This window comes from Homo sapiens, chromosome 6, assembly GCF_000001405.40.
Source record: "Homo sapiens chromosome 6, GRCh38.p14 Primary Assembly".
In the NCBI taxonomy this organism is placed as follows: Eukaryota; Metazoa; Chordata; class Mammalia; order Primates; family Hominidae; genus Homo; species Homo sapiens.
The window spans coordinates 11,655,369-11,669,104 of record NC_000006.12 but is presented as its reverse complement, the minus strand read 5'-3'; the positions used below and the strand labels follow the sequence as shown (position 1 = coordinate 11,669,104).

The 13,736-nt window shown below is 41.3% G+C and overlaps 1 annotated feature.

Moving 5' to 3' along the window:
* Nucleotides 13,262–13,431: a silencer, noted in NCBI's record as "silent region_16917". NCBI's record gives its function as "represses an Ori minimal core promoter by ATAC-STARR-seq in GM12878 lymphoblastoid cells {active_cell/tissue: GM12878}" and the evidence as "EXISTENCE:reporter gene assay evidence [ECO:0000049][PMID:35858748]".

The following is a 13,736-nucleotide window of genomic DNA, read 5'->3' as shown; positions in this document are numbered from 1 at the left end:
AACCCTGAGGCAGAGGGCAAGGGGTAGGTACAAGGGAATGTGGGGGAATTTATCTTCAACAGACTTGTTTACTTATATTGACCAGGACCTGACCTTTGATCATCCATGTGCATGACGTTCCCTGAAAGGGGAACAATAAATGTTAATTACCTACAGGTTGTGTGGGCTCCAGGTTTTCTGAATAAAAGCAAGCTGCTCCAGCTTCTCTCTGGCGTCTAGAGCCAGGCAGTCACCTAGCACCTAGTCACCTAGCTGCTCTTACACTGCATACCTGTGTCTGAGTACCCATTTCATCTGTCGGCCAGGGTCTGCAGGACAGACCCAGCATCTGATTAAATGTTTTCAGTGTTTAATACCTATTGGTGGCTTCCCCCATCCTATTAGGACGAGACAAAAACTCCCTAACACGCCTACGGTGCTCTCCTGGTCTCACCCTTCCACACCCCACAGCTTCAGTTTCTATTCTGCTTGCTTCTTTTTTTTTTTTTTTTTTTTTGCCATCCAGCTACAATGGTTTTTTTCAGAACCCTTGCACCCTTCTACCACATGGCTCTTGTTCACACTATTCCTCCCCCACCCCCACCCCATGTAGAACATTATTCCTTACCTGTTTTGCCAAAAAAAAATTATCTGTTTTGACTCACCATAAGATGTTCAGCACCTGACATCAAGTGTAGCACATAGAAGACATTCCGTAATTTGTTACAATGAATGAATGAATGAGAGGATAAGCTCCTTGACTAAAGTGACACAGTAATAAGTTGGGACATTAGAATTATACTCTGATTCTAGACCCAGTTAGTTTTCATGTGGCGTTTGAATTAGAAGCTTGAAAGAAAGTTTTGACTGCTGTCAACTTCTTCTCATATCCATTTTGGGGATGTTGGTGATGGTACCCCAGCCTGCACATCTCTTGGAAAGTCAGCCCCTCTCTGATGCCCACGACTGGTTACTGGTGCATTTGGCCTAAGGCGCTGTTAGACTGTTAAGTTATTTATGGGTGACTCTAGTCTGTAGGAATTCTGGTTGATCCAGTAATTGGTCTAAGCATCAGGTTTGGATGACTTAGCTGTGTTCCTAGTGAGTTAACAATAACTGATGATAGAGATTTAGAACAGACACCCCCAGGTGCTCAGTTGTTTTAAATAGCACATTAAACAATGTAATACTTAACCCTGGAGGTGAACAATAAGTGTTGTATTAGTTGCAGTAAGTACTATGCTATAGCTCTAAATGTGGAGCTAGAAACCCATTCTTTATTTCTAAATGAATGTGCTTTTCACAAAGAACACAGGCTCATGATGGATGGGGAGCAGACGAACTTCAGCTCCCAGACTCCAAAGACCCAGTGCTTACAAGGGAGAAGCACGTATAATCTGAATGTATGCTTAAGGAAACACCAGACAAACCCGAATTGAGAGGCAGTTCTCAAAAGTTTCAAGGTCATCAAAGAGAAAAGTGCCTCCCGGGTTGGAGTCATGACAACTAAATGCAATTTGGGAATGCTGGTTTGGATTCTAGATCACAGGAAAAACATTAGTGTGACAACTGGCAAGATTTGAATAAGGTCTGTCAATTGCACTACAATTACAGTTGTGGAAGAGCTGGGAGGTGAGTACATGAAAGCTCTGTGGACTATTTTTACAACTTGGCTGTAAGTCTATAGTAAATGTTAAAAACACCACTAAAATAAATAAATAAGTAAACAAAAACCTAAATAAATAAATAAAAAGAAGATTAACAATTTTTATGCAAAGAGCATAGAAAAGGCTTAAAATTTCAAGGCATGAAGAAGAGGGTGAGTAGAGGAAAGAATGATCCGTTAGCCTATGGACCCTCAGAAAAATTGAGTTCTTCATTATTTTATAGAAGAACAGAAGCAACATCCTGGTCCCAGCAGATGCAACAGCATCAAGCACAGAACAGGCACCTGCCTTGCTGAGGAAACTAATTCTGATGGGGCCAGTTGGGTGATGGCCTAAGTCTTAGCAAAAATTCTGGATGTCAGGGCTGGTCTATCCAGGTAAAAATGAGCTATTAATCCTTTTTAAATACACACCTATTTTTATTAGAGACTGAGTTTCATCATGTTGGTCAGGATGATCTTGAACTCCTGACCTAGTGATTCACTCTCCTCGGCCTCCCAAAGTGCTGAGATTACAGGCATGAGCCACCATGCCCTGCCTACTACAAATACACATCAACAAAAAAAAAAATTAGCTGGGCATAGAGGCAGGTGCCTGTAATCCCAACTACTTGGGAGGCTGAGGCAGGAGAATCGCTTGAACCCAGGAGGTGGAGTTGCAGTGAGCCGAGATTGCACCACTGCCCTCCAGACCAGGTGACAGAGTGAAACTCTGCCTCAAAAGAAAAAAAAAAAATACACACCTAAAACCCAGTTACATGCTTTTAGTTCAATATAGCATGGGTGCCTCATCTGCTGAACTGTAATCATGTTGCTTGACCAGTTTTACCTCTAAGACCTGTAAGCTTCAAACAGAAAGGCTGGTGACTAGAGAAGTAAAATATTTTTTCAAAATAGTATCGACAAAAAAGCAGATTGTTCCTTTCCAAAACAATTATGGTCCAATTATTTCACATGAAGAAATCTGGGCTCAAAGAAGCTACTGAACTGCAGAAGACACTAGCGGATACAAGGGTTTGCAGTGACTTAAGCCCAAGACCAATGTATCATTGGGAGGAGTGATCTCTTCCATCCTCTCCAGGCCCCAGGTTTCCGACTTGTAAAAGTAGTAGTCGAGCTAGGTAATTTCTAACGTGTCCTCTAACTTTACTAAGCTATAATTTAATGAAAGAATATTTATTCAAATGAAGAATACAGACTAAAGGCAATTGCCACAATTACCATTACAACCAACATCTTGGTACTGCTGAATGAGACGCACTTCTCTCTCTAGTTGGGAAAAATAACCAGCTATGTCTCTATCTCTGTGCTCTGGACCCTGTGGCCTCTTGGCTTCTTGGGCACTAGATCACATCATTTCACTTCTGTATTTTCAATTCTCTTCCATTGGCATTTATGCATCTTTGAGTCACTCCTAGCTTGAAACAAACAAACACACACAAAACAAATGAAAATCTTCCTTTATAGCTCTCTCTATCCCTTCACAGCCTAACTTTGGGAAAAAACTTAATATATTTTCTATATTCATTTTTTCCTTTTCCACTGGCTCCTTAATCTACGTCACCATTCACTGAGGCCACCAATAACATCTATGCCATAAAACACAGCAGCCATTTTCAGTTCTGATCTGACTGGACTTCTCAGACCATTGAATACTGTGAGTCACATTCTCCTTGAAATACTCTCTTTCCTCAGCTTCCCTGATACTACCCACTTCTGGATTTTCTTCTTGTTGTTGCAAAAGTAATTGTGGTTTTTGCTCCACAATAACTTTTGCACCAACCTAATATTTCTCTGACACCTCCTCTTTGTTATTCTTGGTCTACTTGTCCTTCTCCTCCTAGCTATGAAATCTTGTAAATTTATTAAGACTAGATCGTAGGTCCTCAATCCTTCTGCTCATGACTTTTTATTATTAAATATTATTATTTCTGTGTCTGGACTTCCCATTATTTAACTTTGAGTTCCAAACTGTCAACTCAACAGATCTATGTGGCTATCTCAAAAACACCCCAAATTTGACGTGTCTAAAACTAGTTCACCCTTCACACCATCTCCCTACACCTGTCCTGTTCTTTTTCCCATACTCTGTCTCATAGTGGTATCACCACACTTGCCTTTGCCATCCAGAAATCTGGGCATTATTGATGACAAGTTCCTCTCCTTCCTTCCGCATTCGACCATCACCAAGGAGATACTTTCCATCTTGTTACCTAAAAATTTCTCACGTCCACTCACTTTCTTTATTTCTGCCACTCCTCCTCTGGTCAGAGTGAATGTGCACTGTCATGAATGGCTGCAGGAAATCTCCTAATTGGTTTCTTGTCACCTCCCTGGCACCAGCATCTTTCCACCATTTCATCCTTTCAGTCTCTTCTCTGTACCGCATCCAAAATGGCCTTTTATAAAAACTTTTTATTTTGAAATAATCATAAATTTGCGGGAAGTTACAAAGATAGTACAGAGAGGATTCATGTATTCTGCATCCAGTTTTCCCAATACAATAAGATACATCTTATGTAATTATAATACAATATGAAAACTGTGTATTTGACATTGGTACCGTGTGTTTATAGTTCTACACGATTTTGTCATGTGTAGTTTTATGTTACCACCACTATAGCAATTACTATACAGAACTATTCCATCAGCACAGAGATCTCCCTTGTGCTACCTCTCTATGTCATACTTACCTCTCCCTTCTGTCCTCCACCACCTCTAACCTCTTCCACCATTCATCTGTTTTCCACCTCTATAATTTTCACTTTTCAAGAATGTTATATACATAAAAAGTCATAGACCATGTGACTTTTTCAGGTTGGCTTTTTTTTTTCAACGTAACTTAATGTCCTTGAGATTCATCTGGCTTTTTCCCTCAATATAATGTTTTTGAGATACATCTACATTGTCACATATATGGGTGGTTTGTACTTTTTTATTACTGATGAGTATCCCATGGTATGGATGTACCATAGTTCTATGTTGAATAGCAGTTGTGACAGAGGTTATCCTTGCCTTCTTCCCAATTTTATGCAGAAAGCATTCAGCCTTCCACCATTAAGTCTGATGTTAAGTTTCTCTGCTAAATTGAGGATGTTCCCCTCTATTCCTACTTTTCTGGTAGTTTTTATCATAAATGAGTGTCAGATATTGTCAAATGCTTTTCCCACATGGATTGATATGATCACGTAATTTTCTTCTTTAACCTGTTAATATGGCAGATTACATTGACTGATTTCCAAATATTGAGTCAGGAAGTCACAGTAAGAGAAATTAGGCAAGAGAAAGAAATAGAAGGCATCCAAATAGGAAAATAAGTCAAACTATCTCTGCTGAAGGTATCATTCTATACCTAGAAAACCCTAGAGTCCACCAGAAGGTTCCTGAAACTGATAACTGACTCTAGTAAAGTTTCGGGATATAAAAAATCAATGTATGAAAATCAGTGGCATTTCTATACACCAATAGCATTCAAGCTGAGAGCCAAATCAAGAATGCAATTCCATTTACAATAGACCCGCCCCCCGCCCGCCTCCCCTACACACACACACAATACCTAGGAATACATCTGGCTAATAAATTGAAAGATCTTTACAAGCAGAATTACAACACACTGCTAATGACACACAAACAAATAAAAAGCATTCTGAGATAGCCAAGTGTAAAGGAGTCCCCGGAGAACCTCTGACAGGCCTGAGCACTGAAAGAATGGGATGGAGCTGTAGGAAGTTCACACCTTTTGCAGTGGGGAGGAGCCTGGCCTCTCCTGTTCTGGGATGGTAACCTGGGATTCAATCTGTGAGGCAGGAAGCCAGCTAACAGGACTCTCGCTTTGTGGAGAGTCCCTGTTTCCCAATTTTTTTTTCCTTTTCACCCAATAAACCCTGCCCATCTCATCCTTCAACATGTCTGTGAGCCTAATATTTCCTTGTCATGTGACAAGATTTTTCCTACACAACAATTCCATGCATGCTCATGGATTGGAAGAATAAATAGTGTTAAAATGGCCATACTGCCTGAAGCAATCTACAGATTCAACACTATTCCTATCAAGCTACCAATGTAATTGTTCACAGAACTAGAAAAAACTATTCTAAAATTCATGTGGAACCAAAAAAAGAGCCTGAATAGCCAAGGCTCTCCTAACCAAAAAGAACAAAGTCAGAGGGTTTCTTCTTTTCTTCAAACTATAGTATAAGGCTACAGTAACTAAAACAGCATGGTACTGGTACGAAAATAGACACATAGACCAGTGGAACAGAATAGAGAACCCAAAAATATAGCTGCACATCTACAGCCATTTGATCTTCAAGAAAGCCAACAAAACTAAGCAATGGGGAAAGGACTCCCTATTCAATAAATGGTGCTGTGGTAGTTGTCTAGCCATATGTGGAAAAATGAAACTGGACCCCATTTGCCATATACAAAACTTAACTCAAGATGAATTATCGATTTAAATGTAAGACCTCAAACTATAAGAATCCTAGAAGAAAACCTAGGAAACATCATTCTGGACATTGGCCTTGAGAAAGAATTTGTGACTAAGTTCTCAAAAGCAATTGCAACAAAAACAAAAATTGATAAATGGGACTTAATCGAACTAAAAAGCTTCTGCACAGCAAAAGAAACTATCAATAGACTAAATAAACAACCTACAGGATAGGAGAAAATATTCACAAACAATGCCTCTGACAAAGGTTTAATATCCAGAATCTATAAGGAACTTAATTCAGCAAGCAAAAAACAAAATAACCCCATTAAGAAGTGGGCAAAAGACATGTACAGACACTTCTCAAAAGAAGATGTACAAGTAGCCAACAAATATGAAAAAATGCTCATCATTACTAATCATCAGGGAAATGCAAATAAAATCACAATGAGATAACATCTCACACCAGTCAGGATGGCTATTATTAAAAAGTCAAAAAGCAACAGGTGTTGACAAGGCTGCAGAGAAGAAAGAATGTTTATACAATGCTGGTAGGAATGTAAATTAGTTCAGCCACTGTAGAAAGCAGTTAGGCTATTTCTCAAAAAACTTAGAACTACCATTCAATCCAGCAATCCCATTAATGAGTATATATCCAGAATAATATAAATCATTCTACCAAAAGATATATGCACTCACGTGCTCATCACAGCACTATGCACAATAGCAAAGACATGGAATCAAACTAGGTGCCTATCAATGATGGATTGGATAAAGAAAATATGGAACATATACACCTGGAATCCTATGCAGCCATAAAAAAGAATGAAATCAGGCCAGGCGTGGTGGCTCATGCCTGTAATCCCAGCACTTTGGGAAGCTGAGAAGGGTAGATAATCTAAGATCAGGAGTTCGAGACCAGCCTGACCAACATGGCAAAACCCCATCTCTACTAAAAATACAAAATTAGCTGGGGTGGTGGCACATGCCTGTAATCCCAGCTACGTGGGATGCCGAGGCAGGAGAATTACTTGAACCTGGGGGGTGGAGGTTGCAGTGAGCTGAGATAGTGCCATTGCACTCCAGCCTGGGCTACAAGAGCAAAACTCCATCTCAGAAAAAAATAAAAATAAAAAAGAATAAAATCATGTTCTTTGTCACAACATGGATGAAGCAGGAGGGCATTATCCTAAGAAAATTCATACAAGTACGGAAAACCAAATGCTGCATGTTCTCACTTATAAGTGGCAGCTAAACGTTGGGTACTCATGGACATAAAGATGGCAACAAGAGACACTGGGGACTACTAGTGGGGAGGAGGGAAGTAGGGGGATAAAGATTGAGAAACTAACCAGTGGGTACCATGCTCAGTACCTGGGCAACAGGATCAATCATACCCTAAACCTCAGCATCACTCAATGTACCCCTGAATCGAAAATATAAGTTGAAATTATTTTTTAAAAAAAACTAAGATTGAGGCCGGGCGTGATGGCTCATGCCTGTAATCCCAGCACTTTTGAGGAGTTGGAGGCCTGGCCAACATGGTGAAACCCCATCTGTACTAAAAATACAAAAATTTCCTGGGAATGGTGGCATGTGCCTGTAATCCCAGCTACTTGAGAGGCTGAGGCAAGAGAATCCCTTGAACCAGGGAGGCGGATGTTGCAGTGAGCCGAGATCTGCCACTGCGCTCCAGTCTAGGCGAGAGAGCAAGGGCCTGTCTCAAAAAAAAGAAAAGAAAAGAAAAAAAAAGCTAAGATTGAGTCAGGCTTGCATCCTTGGAATAAATCTCCGTTGCTCATAGGATATAATTCTTTTTATACATTGCTAAATTCAACTTAACATTTTATGAAGAATTTTTGCAGCTGTATTCATAAAGGATATTAATCTGTAGTTTATTGTATTGTCTTTGTTTTGGTACAAGGTAATAACTGGCCTCACAGAATGAGTTGGGAAAGTGTTCCCTCCCTCCACTCTTTGAAAGATACTGTGTAAAATTGGTATTAATTTTCACTTAAATATTTGGTCTAATTTTTCAGTGAAAAACTGAGTCTAGAGATTTCTTCTTTCTAAGTTTTTACAATATAAATTCAATTTTTAAATAGTTACAGGGTTTTCAAGTTACCTATTTCATATTGGGTGGATTGTGCTATTTTGTACTTTTTGAGGAATTGATCTGTTTCATTTAAGTTGTCAAATATATATGTGTGTGGAGTTGTCAGAATTGCCTTTTTAAAAAAATTACAAAGTATAATACTCATAAGGAAAATGCAAAAATGTGCAGCTCAATGTAAATAATCCCTAAAAAGCAACCACCCACCTAAGCACCATCTAGGTGTAAGGAACATGGCCAGCACCCCCTGACACCTCCCTGGGGCTTCCTCCTGAATACCACTGACTTCTCCTCTTCCTTAGAAGCAGTCACTATATTGATTGTTAGAGAAATTACTTAATTACTTTTCTTTTTAATCTTTACAACCTAACTACATATCCCTAAATACAATAGCTTAGTTTTCCCTGTGTTTTGAACTTTATATAAATGAAATCATAAAGTATAATGTGGCTTCTTTTACTTAAAACTATTTTGGTGAGAAATATTCAGATTAGTCACTCATTTTCATGGCAGGGGTATATTCCATTCTAGGAATGTATGCTTTAAGGCTATTGGATTAAAGCCTTACATCTTTGGGCATCTATTTCTCTGCACAGTGTCAAGGCAGTAAGATGTTCTGGTGCCTTACTCTTCTCCTGTATATATTTACCAGATTAGCAAACTCTCAGCACTCGGTCCTGAGAGCCTGGGTAGTACATTCAGTGTACTCCACAATCTCCTGACTGCACATTTCAGCAACAGCAAGAAAAGCTGGAACTATTGGAAGAAAGAGGGTCAATGTAGGCCACTGACAATGGCATGCCTGCTGGAATGAGGTAGCCTCGGACTTGAGCAACATGAAAAATGCCCAGGCAGCCAAGAGAGGGTCCCCAAGGCCAGGGGAAGGAAAAACACCCAAGCATATCGTTGCTGACTCTCATTTCCCCTAAAGCATGGAACAGTGTTGTTTTGTGGAAAGTACATGACTTTCAGAGCCAGACAGATATGGGTTTGAGTGATGTTCAGTTGCTGGGTAGACTTGGGCAAGAGACTTAACCTCTCTGAACTTCCACTTCCTCACCATGCAATGAAAATAATAATGTCTTCCCTTTGGTATTGTTAGAGGAATTAAAAGGCCATGATACATGGGAAACCCAAAAGAAATCTTTCATTCCATCCTCCCTTCCTTTCTTTCTTACATTCTTTCTTCCTATATCCCTTGATATATAAAATGGTAGAGGTAGGAAAACCCTAAAATTACTTAATTCCACACTCTTCTCATACAGGTAAGAGACATGAAGGACTTGCTTGAGATCCCACCACTGGCCAGTGGCAATGCTGACATCTTCCTAGTGTGATCTTTCCACCATGCCATGGGGAGCACCTAGCTGGAGAATTAGAAATTCTAAGTCTCAATTCCAAACATTTGTATGTGCATCCGCTTAAAATTCTGAATTCAAAGGGACATCAAAAAGGACAGCTTTCTTATCTCACATTTTTCACTTAAGAACACCCAATTATACTGAGCCTCTTCTACTTTAAAAGCTGCTCTGATTCATAATTTGTACAAGGTTTGGCGAACTTTTACAACTCAAGACCATATCTGATGCCTCCCTACAAGCACTTCTGAGTAAATTTTACTTTTTGGAAGAGGTAGTACCAGTTGTCCCAAATCTAGAGCCCTCAAACCCCTCAAGGTCCACGATTGTTCAAAGATGACCAGTTATAATTTGGGATTTGCCTTCCACTTGGACATTCTTCAGAGTTTGAGAGAAAATTCCCCTACTTTGTGAGCTCAGCTACACGCACGCACTCCAGGGAAAAGAGTAAAATATGCATCTCAGAACTACCCTACCTAAGGCCCAGCGCAGTGGCTCATGCCTGTAATCCCAGTACTTTGGGAGGCTGAGGCAGGTGGATCACTTTAAGTCAGGAGTTCGATAGCAGCCTGGCCAACATGGTGAAACCCTGTCTTTACTAAAAATTAGCCAGGCGTGGTGGTTTGTACCTGCAATCCCAGTTACTTGGAGGCTGAGGCAGGAGAATCATTTGAACCCAGGAGACAGAGGTAGCAGTGAGCCAAGATCACGCCACTGCACTCCAGCCTGGGCAACAGAACGAGACACCATCTCAGGAAGAAAAAAAGAAAGAAAGAAAAGAACCACCCCATCCAAAGGACAAGGCAGCTGGGGTGTTTCTGCACCAATTCCCACCAGTCATCAGCTGAGCACTGTTCCCAAAAGGGGCTGTTCCCTGCCCTTCTTGTCTGCCTCACATGGTCAGAGTAACCTCTGGAAGCCAGAGAGTCTTCAGGTAGAGATGTGAACGCAGGCAGTTGGGAGTCTGGGTGCGTGCACCAAAATGAAAACGGTCCAAGAGATGTGGTCCTGTGGGGCACTGGCATTGAAAGACACATGAAAAGCACAAGGCACGGACTTTCTTTAACCAGAGATTTCTCTGACAATGCCAAAAGAATGGGCTGAGGTAGCTGGAAAGCAAAGGCAAAGTTTGTTCTGTGTTTGCCAAATTACATTATCAGTTGTACTCAAATCTTCATTATGTTTCTTTTGTATATGTAAGGACATTGATTAGAAAAGAGACAAATGGAATGGGAATATAGAGCAGGATTTGGAGACCTTCAATTTCCCCAACCCACAACCCACCCTGAGCTCCCTCCTCCTCTGCGTTCCCTGGTTAGGCTCTTCATGTCTGGCCTGAAGACACTGTTAACTTCTCTCAGTGGCCATCAGTTACCTTGGCAGAGGGACAGACTCACTTAATGCTCTATCCCTACCCCCACCCCTCACCTTTACACACTCATCTTCCACATCCCCAGACTTGTAACTAAAGTCAGACCCCAGCACTTACTAGGGGAGAAGGGAATTCAACCACCAAAAGACTTACAGGACTTAATTATATTGGCAAAGATGTGGGAATATGTGAGGAAAGGCATCCTGAAGGCTATTGGTCAAGAGGAAGGAACATCACTTTGATCAGGGTAAACGTGGGTGCACTGTGCACTCACCCACGATTCTGGATCTAGTGGTGTTAGCTGGGGCAGCTGAGAGTGGTTCTGATAGTTTACTTGCTGGCCCAAGAAGTCCAGGGCTCCATTGGAAGTACAGTCTAGGGAAAGTTGAGAAGCTAGAAACTGTAAGGTTCAATATAACAAAAGAACTCATAGGTGTCAAGAGAGGAATGTGGCTGTAGCCTTATAGGCAATCCCGTCATCAAAGCCTGGGATAGACACTGGTAAGGCAAACACCGGCATCTTTGAAAAGAGTGTAGAGGCTCTTCTCTGTGAGTTGGGAATAGTGGTGGAAGATGCTACCATCCAAAAGGACTGCTTGATACCAAGCATGTGGGAAGGGCCCGGGTGGAAAAGGACAAATAGGTACACTAGAATAGTAAGATAGAAATGGGTATAGTCATCTTACAAGACATTAGGGCTTACCAGAATGAACTGAACTGCAGGGATCTTAGGGTGTGGCCAGTTGATCGCAGGATTTCCGGCCTAACTTGGCGTGTAACTGAAAAAACTCCAGGTCTGGTGAATGGGGGCTGCTATTACATCAGAAACTTGGGGTCGTGTCTAAGACCGAGTCAGTTCCCAGACCCACATCCCCTCACTAAAGGGAAAATAGGGATGCTTAAGGCAGCACTTTCTGCTAAAATTGCCAAGTATGTTCTGTGACTTTTCCTCTCAGCCTTCCCCAGTGGTACTTGTGTCCATTTAAACAGGTTACTGTACTGGGGGAAAAATGCCCAAACTTTTCTCAAATATTTGGACACTGGCTCCAAGCCAACCATACCACAGACCACCTATCAAAGCAGGCGACTAGTAGAGATCTGGTAATTGATAGAGTTTTGGAGTGTGTGTGTGTGTGTGTGTGTGTGTGTGTGTTGACCTTTCTTCTCCCATTTGGCAGAGGAAAAGTATACCAAACACAGAGGAAAGTGGAGAACTCATGGTGAGCTTTTACTCCTGTAACTGCATCCATTCCTGCTTCGCTTACTGAGTTCCCTCCACACTTGCATCTCAAACGCTGAACTCAAACTTGTCATTCTCCCTCTCCTCCCATGGCCTTTGAATTTGCAATTCCCTGGCCTAAATCTTCCTCACCTCTTCCCATCCCTTTGCCTAATTACTTCCTCCTCATCCTTCAAATCTCAGCTCCAGGGTCCCTCGTTAGGGAACACTGCCTATTCCCATCACTCCACGAATCTAGGTCAACTTCATTAGCTCCACAACATCCAGGGACAGCAATCTTTGCCTTTAAAGCACCTCCCGCAGCTTGTTGATGCACATTCATGCGAGTGGCTTGACGAGTATCTGCTTCTTCCTCTAGACTAGAAGCAGCCCAAAGCTGGAACGTAGTTTTGGTTACCACTCTTCCCCTGGCTTCTAAATACGATGCCTGGCACAGTGAACACTCAATAAATATTCATCAAATGAATGGATGAATGAATAAATAAATGAATGCACACCTCTTTTACTTCAAAAAAAAAAACACTTCTTAAGAATTGAAATTTAGCAATAAATTGGCCAATGTTTTTCCTATCTTTAGCGTGCCAGCACTTTCTTCTGGAGACCATGAGCAGGGGCAGAAAGACATCATCCCCAGCAGCACTCACATCTGAAAGCAGGCGGGTGTCCCTCTGCAACAACCCCTGCTCAGTTAGATTGCTTTAGGATACCCTCTTTTCTAAACAGAACAAAATTTTAACCAGACCATAAAAGCTGGTTTGGGATCTGAAAGAATAAGATTGTGCAGCAAATGATAAAAGGAAAAACCCAGCCATGCCTCCCTGTTCTGCCTTTTGTTTGGGCATCCTGTGTCCTGCTAGGCCTAGAAGGGGGTTGATGGAACCGTTTGTTGGCTGAGAGACTGGATTTTAATTGTCCTGCAAAGCTCCAATAAAGCTTTGTTTCAAGTCTTGAATTTCATCCATGTTTCCCTTTTAACAAACTTCAAGGAAATAACTCACCCTGAACTGCCACAGTGTACTGCCAAAGCGCTAGCAAATAAGAAAGGCACATGCTTCCTGAATTTGGGTGAATGAACCGACAACACTCACTTTAAAGGGTTTTCTTTTTCTTTTTTTTTCCTTTTAACTAGGAGAGAGAATGCGGACCAGGCTTTCCCTCAGCAATTTTTCTAATGAAAACATTTGGTGCCACCTGGTGGCCAAATTTACACGGACGCCTCAGCCTTCGCAGAGTACAAATGTCTCCCGGTTGAACTGGATATTAAAAACCCTGGTGCTACTCGGGAGGCTGAGGCAGAGTGGCATGAACCCGGGAGGCGGAGCTTGCAGTGAGCCAAGATCACGCCACTGCACTCCAGCCTGGGTGACAAAGCGAGACTCCGTCTCAAAAAAAAAAAAAAAAAAAAAAAAAAAAAAAAAAAAACCCTAGTGCAACCAATTTGGTAAATTTCTAAGAATATAGAGAATTTAAATTTCTCCTTATTGAAGACAAAATTCCCCACCTGCGTTCCACCACGCCTCTTGGGGACAATTTGTTTTCCTGAACAGGTGGCTTTCTTTAAGTGAACATTTTCTCTAAG